The sequence below is a fragment of the Homo sapiens genome, chromosome 5 (assembly GCF_000001405.40).
Source record: "Homo sapiens chromosome 5, GRCh38.p14 Primary Assembly".
Lineage (NCBI taxonomy): Eukaryota > Metazoa > Chordata > Mammalia > Primates > Hominidae > Homo > Homo sapiens.
Genome location: NC_000005.10, coordinates 115,241,473 through 115,258,372, shown reverse-complemented (window position 1 = coordinate 115,258,372; position 16,900 = coordinate 115,241,473). Strand labels below are relative to the sequence as shown.

General features: G+C 35.3%; 1 protein-coding gene across 4 annotated transcripts in view; it reads left to right on the top strand.

Moving 5' to 3' along the window:
* PGGT1B (protein geranylgeranyltransferase type I subunit beta) overlaps positions 1–16,900 on the top strand; it is a 58,866-nt gene that overhangs the window by 4,505 nt on the left and 37,461 nt on the right. For all 4 annotated transcript variants that reach the window (XM_011543490.3, XM_005272020.4, NM_005023.4 and 1 more), the window contains exons 2-3: positions 5,118–5,236; positions 16,767–16,834. In XM_011543490.3, coding sequence (XP_011541792.1) covers positions 5,118–5,236; positions 16,767–16,834 — 187 coding nt within the window. The remainder of the gene's footprint in view (positions 1–5,117; positions 5,237–16,766; positions 16,835–16,900) is intronic.

The following is a 16,900-nucleotide window of genomic DNA, read 5'->3' as shown; positions in this document are numbered from 1 at the left end:
CACTCATGTGGTAGTCCAGGAGAGAGATGCTGAGGCAGTGAAGTAGGGCTAGAAAAGAGGGGATGAAGAAAAAGAAGGAGTCCCAGGATTCTTGAATTGGAACTGCTATCTGGTCTGGATAATAAAAGGCAAAAGGAGCCAGTTGAGAAAGGAAGAAGATGATTCATGTAATAGCACTTAACATGTAACCTCCTTAAGGTTAGGAAGCTTTATTCATTTTTGTGGTGACATCTAGTCTGTAGTAGGTGTTCAGTAGATGTTTCTTATTGAAAAAGTATGATAGTAGAAAAACTATTTTACAAGTTAAATAATTCCACAGATATGTGACTGTACTTAAAAGTATTTACCAGTTGAATCAGCCATTGAAAAATAATTATAAATGAAGAATAATGCTTAAAATTCCAGAATTCATGCAGTCTTTCAGTCATTTGTTTCGAAGTATTATGGCAGCATCTATGTGCTAGTATTTTAACTTCATGATTAAGTCTAATGTATCATCTAAGGCTCTCTCTTCACTGACATGGTTATCAATTTTATTTGTGTTCTTATTTCTTAATGTAGATGCTTATTTATAATTTTAGATGCAATATGATGTAGTCATAGGCCCATCTGGTATCTAGGCAGGAATGTAGTCCATTGTTTAAGACACTTGTTTAAGACACTTGGTAAAGGATGGGGTTGCACCAGAAAGGGTCAGGACAAGGGATCCAAAGTTTGGGAATCTAGTCAACTCTCATAAATTAGTGTTTTCAGTATATTTCTTATATCAGTATGACTAAGTTCTTTTTTCCACTGTCCAGACTATAGACTGTTTTTCATTCTTTTTTTTTTTTTTTTTTTTTGAGATGGAGTTTTGCTATTGTTGCCCAGGCTGGAGTGCAATGGCACGATCTCGGCTCACTGCAACCTCAGCTCACTGTAACCTCCACCTACTGGGTTCAAGTGAGTCTCCTGCCTCAGCCTCCCTAGTAGCTGGGATTACAGGTGCCCACCACCACGCCTAGCTGACTTTTTGTATTTTTAGTAGAGATGGAGTTTCATCATGTTGGCCAGGCTGGTCTCGAGTTCCTGACCTCAGTTGATCCACCCGCTTTGACCTCCCAAAGTGCTGGGATTGCAGGAGTGAGCCACTGCGCCCATCCTTCTTGTTGTTCTTATTTAATCTTTGGGGTATGCGTGTCTTAAGCCTGGAATATTTGACATCTTTTGGAGACACTTAGGTTAACCCTCTTGTCTGTGAATTGATTCTTTGGTAAAGCAACTTGATTGGGGGTTGGGGGATGTTACTTTTTCATCCTTGTAAGATAAACTTCTTATACATATTGTTCAGAGTGAGAGAAGAGGGGTGAACAGAAAGATATTGTTTGCTTATTTACACTTCTCAGGCTGCAGATTCAGATTGAGTTCTAGGGAAAAGAAGAAACAGAATAAACAGATATTCTCTGAAAGAAGTAAAAAAGTAAAAATAACTTCATTGGCTTGATTTTAGGTGCGTGTGTTCGCACAATTACCCCTCTATACACCTGTGCTGAGTCAGGTTGCCCAGCAGTTTATTCCCAAGTAGAAGTCATCTAGGAACCATAAAACCCTACATTATACTATTTCTCTGGGAGGCCCACAGCCCAAAATTCCTTTGTGTTTTTTGTGGCTTGTTTTAATTCTCTCTCTTTCAGTTTTAGGACTACTTGAGAATTCTGATGTGATTGGAAGAGGAATGGTTTCCCAGACTATTTTAAAGGAGGCCAGATATTTGCCCCAAAGTGACTTATTGGTTCTGTCTGCCAAGCATTTCTGATGGGACCTCTTTTTATAAACATAAGCCATTCACCATAACTCTGTTACTCTCATAAACCTTATGGTCTCACCCTAAGTCTTCACCTATGAGTTGAAAATGCTGGACTTTCAGGAGCCCTTAATAATTAAGTATGCAAGATTTTAAAATACCATCACATGGCTGATTTCTTGTATTTGGCACTTACATGTAGAGTGCATTCATATCCAGGAGCAAGTAACATGACAAACAGATCATTCAGATAACGTATACAGATAAGAGTATGACCTTAAAGCAGGTTTTCTCAACCTCAGCACTATTAACATTTTAGGCCAGATAATTCTTGGTTGTATGGACCTGTCCTGTGCATTGTAGACATTTAGCAGCAGCCGTGGCTTTTACCCACTTGATGCCAGTAACTCCCTCCTCCACTGTGACAACCAAGAATGTTTGATTATGATATATTATGTTAGGGTCAGTGTTCCCAGTAGAGAACCACTGTTCTCAAACAGTGCTTCTGAAACCTGCCTGCACATTAAAATTACCTGGGAAGTTAAATACAAAAACAAACCGAAAGGGCCCAGACCCCACCTTACACCCATAGATTTGATTGTGAAGTAGGACCTTGATCTCTATGTTATGTTGGTGGTGTTTTGGTCGTTTGTTTTTAAGCAGATTCTAATGAGCAGTTTTTAAGCAGATTCTAATGAGAAGCACCCCTGTGGAGAATACCACTTTGGGACTTAGACTTCTTGAGTAGTTTTGATTGTCTAGTGTTGAAATTTCAAGTAAATTACTTGAATTTTTTGGGCTTTATATTCTTCAGTTAGAAAATCAAAGAGATGGACTAGATCATTTCTAAATTTCTTAATTTTGAAAAAAATGCCAACTTGTTTTTATAGCCTTTTGCATAAATTCTCTTACTACATAGCTTTTACTGACAGGAAGATCTTTGTTTTATCCATTGTCTGACCTCAAGTCCTTCATGTTTTCCTCCACTTTTGTCTCTGTCTTCTTTTTGCCCTTTTCCTTAATAACGCTTTAATAAACTGTATTAGTAGATGCTTAATTGTACCTGACTATAAATATAATCATTTACTTTATGTATTATATCAAAACCAAAAAACCCTGTTAGAGCTCTCCGGGAGGGTTAGATGTAGTATTGCAGGTCCTTTATTAGTTCAGTAAATATTTGAGTGCATACAAACAAAGTGGACCTTCTCTCATGAGACATAATTACCACCAAGGGCAGTGATTTTCACACTTTGTTGCTATTATGTAGAGGTTTTTCCCATGTCTAAAGGTTTATTGTGTTTGGAGAAGCACATTCCTCTGGGGAAAATGGTTACAACCAAGAGTCTATAGAAAAGGCCTGTAGTGTTATAGACTGTGATTAGATCCTAAAGTCGTTGTTACTCTTGTCCCTCCAAATCATGGCAAAGACCAAGGATAATGGCTTCCATTTATTGCGTGCTTATTGTGAGTAGGTAAGCACAATTACTGTATAAGGTATAGTAATGATTAAAATAATTATTGGAAGCTGATTAGAAAAGTTTAGGTATCCTGCCCAGAGTCATGTGGTCAGTCTAGTGAAATTGGCCAACTTGAAATTTGACTGCAGAGTCTGAGCTTTGAACTACTGTACAACACTGCTTCCCACATAAAGGAGTTCCACTGCCCTTAATATAATCCTGATCTTACCTAGATAAATTACCTCTCTAATTCAAATAGATCTCAGTGTGTTGTTAGGATTAAATTGAGATAATATATGAGAAATGTCCCAGCTCAGTGTCTAATACATGGTAATAGTCTCTCAATAGGATGTTTCCCAAATATTTATTTCTGAAGTGCACCCAAATCTCTGTAGTTTTAGTTTTTGCCCTTAAGCTTTGGTTGGAATTAAATTACTTTCTGATATCTCCTCCTGTTATCTAATGGATGCTGCTAGTCTTTTTCCACCAGGGATCAGAGCGATAATTTGCCCTTAAAAAAAAAAAAAAGAGAAGAAATCACTATTTTCTCATCTCTCCTAAAGTTGGTACAGATTGAGCATCCCTAATCCAAAAATCTGAGAGACTCCAAAATCAGAAACGGTTTGAGCACTGACATGAAGCCACAAGTGAAAAATTCCACACATAAGTGCTTAACACTAACTTTGTTTCATGCACAAAATTGTTAAACTATTATATAAAATAAGCTTCGTGTGTAAGATGTATATGAAATTTAAATGAATTTCATATTTAGATTTGGGTCCTGTCCCAGTGGGGTATCATCTCATGTATATGCAAATATTCTAAAATCAAAAAAAAATCTGAAATCTGAAACAGTTCTGGTCCCAAGCATTTCAGATAAGGGATACTCAACCTGTAGTACTATTCTAGATAATAGTACTCTAGATGCACAGGAGAGAAGTAAATTTATTACATACAGTGGATACCTCAGGACATTAAGGCTTAACTATTTCTTAGAATCTTCATTGAAAAGATTACAGAATACATCAGGTAGCTCTGCTGTAAAATTTTAGACCAGATAATTTGAAGTGTTAATTTATTACTATTAGTCATATGAATTGTTAGATTATGGAAATGATGTAACAGTACTCAATCAAGCTATACTAGAGACTGCTTCTCAACATGAAAGGAATTATATATAACAAATTCTTTGTGTTCAAAGCCATCGGTAAGATACTGATTTTTATATGAAAGCACAGGTTTAGATTTCTGATTTATAGTGTACAGTTTCAGAGGGGGAAGGTTTTGCTCTATAGTTTTTCATTCTGCCAAAGAATGCTCCTCTCTGGGAAAATAGAGTGTAAGTACATTTGTATTTTTTTAAATGTTTTATATTTCTCAAAGCTTATTATAAATCTTTTCCCAAGGAATCATGTTATTTGTGAACACCTTTGAATTAAGACATTATTCTCATATTCCTCCAGAATTAAATACAAGCTATAATTGATCCTGACAAATTAGTGAAAATTGACATTTTCACATATTTCTAAGTCCTGTACTATTTGTACTGATTAGTTGTAGAGAATCCTTTTTTAAATCTACTTTAGCCTTCAGTTTGGTGATATTCTGGCTTCAGTGGGTCTTGTTTGTGTCAATGGGGTAGGATTGGTTTCTTAACCCCCAAATGTCCCCTTTTGAAAAATTGAAACAAAAGGCTTGACTGATAGTATTAAGTTACAAGAATATGTATATATATATTTTTTGCTTTTGCAAGGTGGAAGTATTGTTTAAATTATTGGAAAATTAGAATGATTTTATTATTTTTCTAGACCAGGAAGACTTCAGACTTAAGTGGTATGATAGTTAAGATGGAATTTTACATTTTTTTCTTTTAGGTTGACAATTGCATTTTTTGCACTCTCCGGGCTGGATATGTTGGATTCCTTAGATGTGGTGAACAAAGATGATATAATAGAGTGGATTTATTCCCTGCAGGTCCTTCCCACAGAAGACAGTGAGTGAGTTTTTAGCATTTTATTTTTAGTGTGACTGGTTGTACCTGACATAACATGTGTTGGACTAGAAAATCTTAGTACTTGTATACTGTTAACATATTTTATTTATCTGTGATTTTGTTGTAATGCAGCATTGCCATTCTGTTGAAATACAGTACTTAACAAATCTGATCATAATCTCAAGAAAACAATTTAGAGTTATCTGGAATTTAATAGAGATTCACAGTTGTGGCACCATACTATGTTGTATACTTCCACTTTGATGACTACTTGTTGATTATTTATAGTCAGTATTTATGTTTGATTAGTTCTGTAGCATTAACTCTGTTTTTCATTCCCAACAATTCTTGTCTTTTCAGTGAAAAACTCTTTGCCATCGAAAAGTTTTCTTTCAGTTTCCTGATTATTTTCCCTCCAGTGTTTCATTAGCATTTTTAATGGTTTCTTAAAGCTCTTATGTATGCTTCAGTCATTTTTACACTTAACACTTAAAAACTTTTGATTAATTAAATGAATTCTCAGAGTTCATAAATTACGTAATCAACTGCAAATATACAAGTTTTTATAAACTCTGTTATTCACTCTATTAAGTATAAAATATCTAAGATAGATATAACTTATACATGTTATAAATTCTAACCTTAAAAACATCAAACAAACAAACTCCTAGAAAATCATGCTTGTTTTTTTTTGTGGTTCGTTGGTTAGAGTAATCATATGTAAATCTCATCCAGTGAACTTTGGAGAAATAATAAGCTAAAACTTTACTTAGAAAGAAAGGTTTTCTCTGTTTGGCAGACGATCTTGAACATAGTTTGTGGCTATTTTATTCTTGAAGTTCATAGTGTTTGTTTTTATATAACTTTTTAAATCTATGCCTATTTACAAAGTCTTATTAAAAAATGATTTAAGTATTTTGAACTAGGTCTATCAGAATTAAATATATAAATATCTAATCACTTTTCTGCTAGCCCCAATGAAAGCATGTATAAGTTTGGTCAATAGTTACAGATCTAACATGTTGATGAGTAGGATTTATTGAATTTCTGCTAAGAGTACTATTCTTCTAAACCTGTAGAGAAGAGCTGTGATAAGTTGCAAGTTATGGTCCTCATTTTCCAGGAGCATGTGGCCGAGGCCACGTCTTAGTCCTAGTCACTTGCAAAATACATGTCAATTGTTGTTTTCCCTTTTTGCCGGATGTTTTTTAATAATTTAAGTGAAAGTCTGGGATTTTTTAAACAGTTGATTATTAGACTGAGGTATGGTAGAATTATTACAGATTGTGCTTGGTATTTTTTTTTAATTATAAGTACATGCCCGGTTTTTAAAGAAATGTATCTTACATGGTACAGATAGGAAATCATATACACACTGTGGCACATACGAAAGCTATTCCCTAAGTTCTTGCCGAAATATATTTTTATATTATTTTTTAATTAAAAATTTACTGAAACTCGTACTCCTGAAATAAAATAGCTATTGTCTTTATAGAAAAGGATGGACCATAACATTTAATGAGAGAACTCAAGCTGTAGGTTATAGTTTCCAGACCATTGGTCACTTACTCACCATGCTTCCTACTTTCTGTCTTTTCTTCTATTTCCCCCCACTATTAAGGATTATTTGGTGGCTCCGTAATTGAGCAATTTTTTGGTCTGTTCTTTAATAAGTGTTTACTTCCCCCTACCATTTTATTAGTGAAATGAGTTTTTTATAACGCTATTATATCTATGTTGTTTTAAAAAGCTACATACTTCTTCTCATTATTTAATCTTGTGAGAGATTTGCTATTATCTGGAGTTTCATATTATCCATAATAATTTTGTTTGTTACATAATCAACAGAATGGCTAAAAATTAAAAAGGTGGAAAATAACAAGGGTTCACAAAAATGTAGCAAACTGGAACTCTCATTCACTGCTAAAGGAGTTTTATAGCTGCTTTGGAAAACTATTTGGTTATATTTACTAAAGCTGAACATATGTATGTTCTATGACCCAACAGTTCTAGTGTATACTCAGCAGAAATTAAAACATGTTCCCCAAAAGATATGTTCTAGCATGTTTATAACAGTATTTTTTATAAGAGCCTACAACTAGTAATTATACAGACTACCCATCTTCAGTATAATGGATAAAGGATATATTAGCATATTCACACCATGGAAAATAATACAGTAATGGGAATGAACAGTCTACAACTACATTCAGTTATTTGAATGAGTGTCACAAGCATGTTTATGAGAGAAAGAAGTACATTGTATATAGTTCCATTTTTACAAAATACAAAAATAGGTCAAACCAGTCTGGGCATTTGGGGAGTACTAGAAGGAAGTGGGAGAGGCTTCTGGAGTGCTAGTCATGTACTTTTTCTTGAGCTGAGTGCTGGTTATACAGGTGAGTTTATTTTGAAAAAGTTCATGGAGCTTTTTAATTATTATAGGAGTACTTTTCTGATGTTTATTATACTTCAGGGAAAGTTTAAACATTTTTTGGAGTTAGAATTGCAGCTCACCACTCCTTTTGAGAACCATCAGAATTTTCTTTCCCATTAAACTGTCAACTCCATGGACTTCACTGGTTTGAAACCCACTGCCAATTTTTTTCTTCAGTCATTGCTGCTTAAGTTACTTAAAATATTTTTGCCTCCACCTGAATTGCAAACCTCTGGAAGGGAGACAAGTGAATGTGTCTTCTATTTCTTTTCCCTCTCAGTGCTTATTGTGTATCAGTAGTTGTTAGACTATTAAATCACCTGCCCCTTCTCCAACTTTTTTCTCTTCCTCTTTTATATATTTTCACATTTAGCCTAGGACCTCATCTGGCTCTTCAAATATTTTCTAATTCATAAAGCATTTGCAAACTGGTAGAATATGCTTTCTGCAACTCATAGGTCTGTATTTGTCCTACTTTGAGATACCACATAAAATCTAGGGAATTATAACATCTAGAAATGTTAAACAAAACCTGGGGATTATAAAGCAAAAATTTGATAGATTTGACTAAATAAATATTTAAATACTTTATGTAGTAAAAGATAAATAAGTGATGAATTTGCAGAAAATTATGGCTTGTATAATATTAACATCGACTATAAAGAATTGTTAAAGATTCAGAAGAAAAAGATACATTGTCCTTTAGAAAATGACAAAATTTATTAAGTAGTTAACAAAAGAAGTACAGATACATAAAAAGATGATTAACCTTACTAGAAATCAGGGAAATTCAGTCAAAACAATGTTACAAAATAAATGTTCATCAAAAGTGAAAGTTACATAAACTATGGCCCAGTAAAGAATATTATGCAGTAAATAAGGTAGAGCTCTATATATATACTGACATGAAACTGTCTGTCATATATATTAGATATGAGTTTTAAATTTCTTTTCAAAGAATCAATATGTCAGTATGTTCAATTTTTTGCCTTCTACTTTTAAACTTAACTTCCTCGTAAAGCAACCTTTTTCAATCGCCTGCCCCACCCTGACTCATTCTGATTACCTGCTCCACCCTGACTCATTCCAATTACCTGCTCCTCCCTGACTCATTCCGATTACCTGCTCCACCCTGACTCATTCTGATCTACCCTGACTCCCACCAAACCACTCACCTTGTCTCTCTCTTTAAATTAGCCAGTTGGAATTAGTTTAGCCTGTTTGGTCTAACCCTAGCCAATAGGGGAACAACACAGCAGCAGGGGCCACCCGCGTCAGGGATGAGAACCCCTTCCCCTCCCTTGTCCAAGTGTGTGCTCACCATTGCTCCATCTGTAAGGGCACATCCTTCTATAGAAGTAAATTGCCATGCTGAGAAGAAAAAAGAAAATTTTATATTTGAGTGCTATTTCTTTTGTGGCACCGAAACTTTACTTATAATATATATGATTAAATGATAAATTTAAAACATATACAGAGGTGCTTTAACAATCTATATAAATGTGCAGGAAAAACTCAGAAAGGATACATAGAAAATCTTTGTGGAGGGGGAAGTAGATGGGAACAGAGGTGGGGGGATGGCAAGATAAGATACTTTACTGTTTTTCTATATATCTGAATTGTTTGAATGTTTACCATAAGTAAATATGTTTCTGTATTTAAAGTTTTAAACTAGAAAAATACTTAGCTTAACCTCTCTTCAAAACATACAAAAATAAAAACTAAAAGTTCATAGCTATACGTAAATACTGATATTTTTGCTAATGGAAGAAATAATGCAATACATTATTTACTATTTTATAATTTTCAAAGCACTGCCAAATACATAATCAGATAGATTTATTCTTCACCTAATTGGCCTGTCCCAAGAAGAGGAAACTGAGACGCAAAGTGATTCAGAGACCTGTCTGAAACCTCACACAAATGATAAGAGATAGAATCGGATTGACATCTGGCACTTCTGACTCCAGGTTTCAATGTTGTTTTACTGTTTAAGTATATGAGTGGAGACAATCACGTTTGGCATATAAGGACATTGTGAATATTTAATTAAAATTAACCCTGGCCTCCACTTAACTCCAGGATTATAAAGACCCTAGTGGTTTCCTAGTAATAAGTGTATGGTGAGACCACTGGAGGATCGGGTCCTTCTCATTAACTTCAGGAGGGAAGTATTCGGGAAACACAATGGGTCAGGTTGGGAATTGTGTGTGCCCTTCTTTGAGGGCACAACCAGAGAATTTTAGACTTAGAACAGAGTGAGGACTATTACAGTCCATCATTTTACAAATGAGGACATTAAGGTTCAAAGAGATTAATAATTTGTCCACAGTAATACAGCTAGTTAATGCTAGAGACAAGATTAGAATGCAGTTTTCTAGTCCTTTGGATATTTTACTTATATGTGCTGATTCAGTGCAATAGGTGCTCTGTTTACCATGCATGTTTTTCTGTGAGGTACAGATTTTTCTCATGGGAACTCAGAGACTGTCTTATAGCTTTACAGGAAAATCTAGTATCTGTTCCTTAATAGATCCCATAAATTATTAGGATTAAGTGTTTGGAAACATAGATAAGAAGATTTAATATTAAAGGGTAAAATGTTTAATGCTTTCATTTTTTTAGTGGATTCTTCAGATGGCTCACTTTTTAAAAAATAACATGGGGGAAGTAAGTATGGTTTCATGTGGCTAAGTCAAGCGTGTTGCATATTTTAAAAATTATAAGTCATCTGTTTTGGAAATATTATAGATCAAGACATTTTGACAAAAATGGTTTTACAATGTTCATTTATATATCCAGCATTCCCAGGTCAGATGTCTGGTAGACCATTCCACAGACCTTTTCACAGTTCAGCTGCAATTCTGAATTCTCAATTTGCTATCTTGTTGAGGGAAATATTATTAAGTCTCTAATCTCTGTGAAAGAATATCTCCTGTCTGCCTTTTCTTTAATTGGTGTAGGTCCAATTCTAAAACAAATGTGTGAAATGTGGAAAATAGGTATATTTAAAATTTTTTTTTTAGCTATTGAATGTTTCATTTACCTTGTTTCATTACTTTCTTGACATCCTTAAGGAGTTGTGTAAGGCATGTCTTCTTACTAGGAAATTGTGTTTCTTGAGATTTATGTGGAATTATTTCTCTATCCATAAAATATAAATGTTCATTTTAAAATCAGAAAGTAGCCACATTCCTCACTTGAATTCTGTTTGCTTAGGGCAAAAACTTTTAAAATGAGGATTAGAAAGTTAAGAAGTTAAGAACATGAGCAAATCAGTTTTGAAATATATTTAAGAAGCATAATCATCATTAATAGTATGGTGATATTTTGGCCCAAGAGCTGTCCTTTATTATACCTAAATATAATTTTGAATGCAATTTTATATTTCACAATACAGTTTATTGCTTTTTATGAAAAGCAACTCCCCTGATTAAAATAAACCTCTTTAAACTCTCAAACTTTTATATTCCATAAGTTTATAACCGTTTTTTAAAGAATATCTAAATGTACTATCTTTCAATGCTTGACATATAGTTGGTTTTATGAGCTTAATAGTAAAACACTAAGTTTTAAAGTGACATATGACTCAGTCATCAGGCAAGAGTCAGCTTAATAAATTTTCATGTACAAACGTGCAAATAAATGAATTATTCTTCCTTATAGTTGATAACTATAGATACATTATATTTTCTAATAACACACTTCCTGCATACTTACACATAAACACACACACATATTACATCCATGTACATACTCCCATTTTTGCTGCCTTTCTCATCTACCCAGTTTTCATTTTTCTTCAGTAACCTCAATTTTTATGATATAGTGCTATCTAAAGTACTTATGTTAAACAGCATAAACAAGTTTGACTCTATAGTTCTACAAAAGTATATTTACCAAATCAGTAGTTCTTGATTCTGACTATGTGTCAAACCGGGATTGTTTTTCTTTTTAAATACAATTTTCCAGGCCCTATCCTCATGCTTTTTAACAGGCATGGGAGGGGAGATGCAAGAGGCATCTCTGTTTTTTCAAAATAGGCAATTGATTCTGATGGGCAGCCAGACCACACAAAGAATTTTCAGTTTGTTTTGCAACTGTTAAATAGGAACACTAGATGGTGCTGTTTGATAACCTGGAAAGAAATTTATACTGTACCCAGAGTATGCATTCAGCGATAAATTTACAATGAATTGTGTGTGTATACTTTCTTAATTATCATGAAAAGGTATGCTTACTAGAATTCCAAAGGAAAGCACACAAGAGCAGACAAATATTGACAGAAACCGCAAAAGAGTACCTAATAAATATTTTTAAGTGGTGAATTTTTTTTTTTTTTTTGAAATGGAGTATCATTCTGTCACCCAGGATGGAGTGCAGTGGCGCAATCTTGGCTCACTGCAACCTCCACCTCCCGGGTTCAAGCAATTCTTCTGCCTCAGCCTCCCAAGTAGCTGGGACTAAAGGTGTGCTCCACCACACCCGGCTAATTTTAGTACTTTTAGTAGAGATGGGGTAGAATTCTCCATGTTGGTCAGGCTGGTCTCGAACTCCTGACCTCAGGTGATCCACCCACCTCGGCCTCCCAAAGTGCTAGGATGACAGGCTTGAGCCACCGCGCCCGGCCTAAGTGGTGAAAAATTAAGTGGTGAAAATGTTACCTCCTAATGAGCATCATTTTTTAAAACATTAGGATTTAAGTGTGTGACTGATAACTCAATTTAGTAAATGAGTAATTTTCTTGATTTCTTAGTTACTTCATCATAGCTTTTCATAAGAAACAGGAGAATTCTCTTACTGTAGAATAAAGTATAAACTTTAGAATAAACTTCTTTATCCAGTTTCATAGTCCACAGGTGATTAAGAAGAAGGCAAAAAATACTACATTGTCTTTTCCCTATACTGTGACCGTGGTGCTTAAGATCCAAACACTTTTTTCATGACAGTATACAGTCTTTCTGGAAAAAAAAAGAAAAACATTTTTACTTTAAAAAAGCTTTCCTTGATAAATTGCAACAAAAGCTATTCATTTCTTCCTGTTTCACTTTTGATAAAATACAATTAACTGATTTTGAATGGTTACTGTTTATTAAGCCTTGTTTCACTTTGCTAAGTACAATCTAAACATGTCCTTTAACCTTTACAAGAAGCCTGAAGTATATTACTTGCAATATGTTATTGTTACTAGTTCAAAAATGGAAGAAACTGGCTCAGAGAGGTTGTTACTTGCCTATAGAACTCATTGATAGGAAGAATAGGATCCTGAGTTTGATTCCAAGTGTCCATGCCATAATCTCCTAACCTTATATGGTACTTTTAAGTATTGATATTTCTGCTGCTTTTCAGAAAAGTTATTTATTTAATCAGGCTAAAAACAGAAGTGAACAAACAGAAATGTCATTTACTGATTCACCTCTAAGAAGATGAATAAATTCATTTATTTCACTCAGAAGCAGATATTTTATTGAGCCACTACTATATGTCTGCCTCTATGTAAAACACCTGACAGAATTGTTTAAGTTGGTGGGGTACTCAACAAAGGTGTCCAGTTGCAAGTATAAATGCAGAACTGACAGATGGTATCAGAGCTGTCTTCCATCAAAAGTAGAAATGGGATCACATTTTTATGGAGGACTGTTAGCAGATTAGTAACTTGAAAGGATACCCTTTAAAAAAGACAATCCCAAGAACAAAAAGAGAAAAAAAAAGATTTAAAAATGTTTTAATCATATAGGAAAATACGCCTTTTGATACTGCCCCTCATCCAACTAGAGAAGGATTAAAAGAAGTGATGATAAAAGGATAGGCTGGGTGCGGTGGGCTCCTGCCTGTAATCCCAGTACTTTGGGAGGCCAAGACAGGCAGATCACTTGAGGTCAGGAATTCGAGACCAGCCTGGCCAACACGATGAAACCCCGTCTCTACTAAAAATACAAAAATTAGCTGGGCGTGGTAGCTCATGCCTGTAGTCCTAGCTATTTGGGAGGCTGAGGCAGGAGAATTGCTTGTGCCTGCGAGGCAAGGTTGCAGTGAGCCGAGATCATGCCCCTGCAGTCCAGCCTGGGCAACAGAGCAAGACTCTGTCTCAAAAATAAAAAGGATAAATGAATTCATAACTTGGTAAGAGAAAGATAACTTTTTATTTTTTTTTTAAGTATAGCATTATGTACAATTTGGAATATGGGGGGTGTGTTAGGTAGAATCCTTTTTTTTTTTTTTTTTTTTTTTTTGTGAGACAGAGTCTCGCTCTGTTGCCCAGGCTGGAGTGCAGTGGCCCGATCTTAGCTCACTGCAAGCTCCGCCTCCCGGGTTCATGCCATTTTCCTGCCTCAGCCTCCCGAGTAGCTGGGACTACAGGCGCCCGCCACCGCGCCCAGCTAATTTTTTGTATTTTTAGTAGAGACGGGGTTTCACTGTGTTAGCCAGGATGGTCTTGATCTCCTGACCTCGTGATCCGCCCGTCTCGGCCTCCCAAAGTGCTGGGATTACAGGCATGAGCCACCGCGCCCAACCTGTGTTAGGTAGAATTCTAAAGATGTTGCCCCAGGATTTCTGTTCCCTGTTAATTCAGTCAAATACTAATCTGGGTACTGCTGTGAAGGGACTGTGTAGATGGGAGTTAAAGTTATACTAATCAACTGACCTTAAAATGTGGAGCTTATCCATAGGTGACATGTGTACAGGTGGGCTCAGTATAATCACATGAACAGCAGACGAACACAGAAACGTTCGTCATGGAATTGCAGAGAAAGGGAGCAGAAGAGAGAAGAGAAGGTAGAGAGGGTCTAATGGAAAAGATTTGAGTGCCGTTGCCACTCTGAGATATGGGGCCCATATATGAGAAATGGCAAGAGAGGATCTAGGAGCAAAAAGGGATACCTACCAGCAAAGAAATGGAGAACTCAGTCACACAACTGCAAGGAAGTTGATTCTGCCAGCATCCTGAATGAGCTTGGAGGCAGATTGTTCCCCCAAAGCCTCCAAGTAAGGAAGGTAGCCCTGCCTACACCTTAACTTTAGCCTGATGATGCCTGTGTTAGACTTCTGACCTTACAAACAGTAAGGCAGTAGGTGTTTTAAGTTGCCAAGTTTGTGGTAATATGTTATGGCAACAGTGACTAATACAGAGAACAAATTTCAGCCTTATTCATATCATCTCACACCATTCATATTATTTTGTTTATTCCCTTCCAGTCTTTGTTGATATGTGCCATTTGCTTAATTATAAACATAAAAATGCACATTTATTTTTGGATCCTACTTTTTTGCTTAACTTGATCAAATACATTTCTCTGTGTTGCTACATAGTTCTACTGATTATTATTTTTAATAGGAATATAGCGTTTCTTTCAGTACATGAGGCATGATATGCTTAACCTGCTGGACTTTTATGGTGCTTCTAGATTTTCACTATTATTAAACTGCAGTGTGCATTTCTTCTCATACTTGAAATTATTGGAATTGATTCTCAGATATATCATGACTAGGTCAAAAGGTTATGAGTGTTTTTATAACTTCTGTTATATATTGGCAAGTTTTAAGTAGCTTACCAATTTAAAAGTCCTTAGGATAAGAGAACCATAATTTGACTGGGTCAAAAGGATATGAGTGTTTTTATAACTTCTGTTATATATTGGCAAGTTTTAAGTAGCTTACCAATTTAAAAGTCCTTAGGATAAGAGAACCATAATCACTGAAATCATAATCACCATTAGTATCTTTTTTTTTTTTCAAGACAGTTTGACTCTGTCGCCCAGGCTGGAGTGCAGTGGCACGATTTTGGCTCATTGCAACCTCCACCTCCCGGGTTCAAGCAATTCTCTTGCCTCAGCTTCCCCAGTAGCTGGGATTACAGGCAGGTGCCACTACACCCATCTAAGTTTTGTATTATTAGTATAGATGTGGTTTTACCATGTTGACCAGGCTGGTCTGGAACTCCTGACCTCAGGTGATCCGCCCTCCTCTGCCTCCTCCCCAAGTGCTGGGATTATAGGCGTGAGCTACCACACCTGGCTGCTAGTATCTTTTTAAAATACATTTTTCGCCAGTAGGGAGATGATAATTGGTGGAGAGTTTAAATTTAGTGGTTCCTAATTTGTTCAAAGAATTAATGTATAAGCTACTATTTTAAGTTTTTTGGGGGGATAAGAAGCTGAAAAAATATAGTACCTAATGCAGAAGTAGGAGAGTGAAAACAGTTAATAATGAAGTTAGTCATACACTAGTCATAATCTCTTATGAAGGTAGTTCTTCATATCAGAGACTATTTTTAGACCAACTCGATTTTTTTTTATCAGCGGTGCATTTACAGTCTGCTGATACTGCATTGTTATTTTCTGCATCTATCATACTGATTTTCTAATAGCTATTAAAACCATAATTGTTGTATAGTTGATTGTTCTTTCAAGTTCCCAACTTATATTCCATTGATATCTTGAGAAATGAAAATTTTTAGATAGAAAAAAAGTATGGATAAACATATTTTGATTGAGTAGAGAGAGACTAAGTGCTAACTTACAGTGTTCTACATACTTCAAAGCCAAGTGGATTACTGGACTCAGAACGAAGGTCTAGCTAATGTGGAAATACAAAGTACATATTTTCTCTTCAGCTTTAAACCTTTAGTTTGCTCCCATGTAAAGAAGCAATGAGTTAAAGTAAAAACACACTAAATGAGTTAAAGTAAAAAGACAGTAGACCCTATTGTGTTATTAACCGTTACCTTGAACAATCACTTAACCTCTGGGCTTCTGTTTTCTGTTCTGTAGAAAGGGGGATTGAACATGTTGATCACATAAAAATTGATCTGACAGGAGAAGTATGAAAGGACTGTATAGGCAGTGAGGTGGGCTATTAAAAAAAGGTACATGATAGAAATAATTATGTTTTTTGTGACTCATATGGAAATTAAATGAGGAAATTCCCATAAGCACCTAGAATGGACCTGGCACATGGTAAGCATTCAGCATTAGCCAGTATGAAAATGGAGACTAAAATAGTCTGTTTCTGAAAGATTGTGTAATTAAACTGCTTTAGAATCTGTGCAAAAATAAAGTGTACTTTAAATAAGCACATGCTTTTATTTTCTAGGATCAAATCTAAATCGCTGTGGTTTCCGAGGCTCTTCATACCTGGGTATTCCGTTCAATCCATCAAAGGTTGGTTCTATTTGGTTCAGAAGGAAGTAGAAGGGATGTAGGGATATTTTAATAAAAGAGAAAACT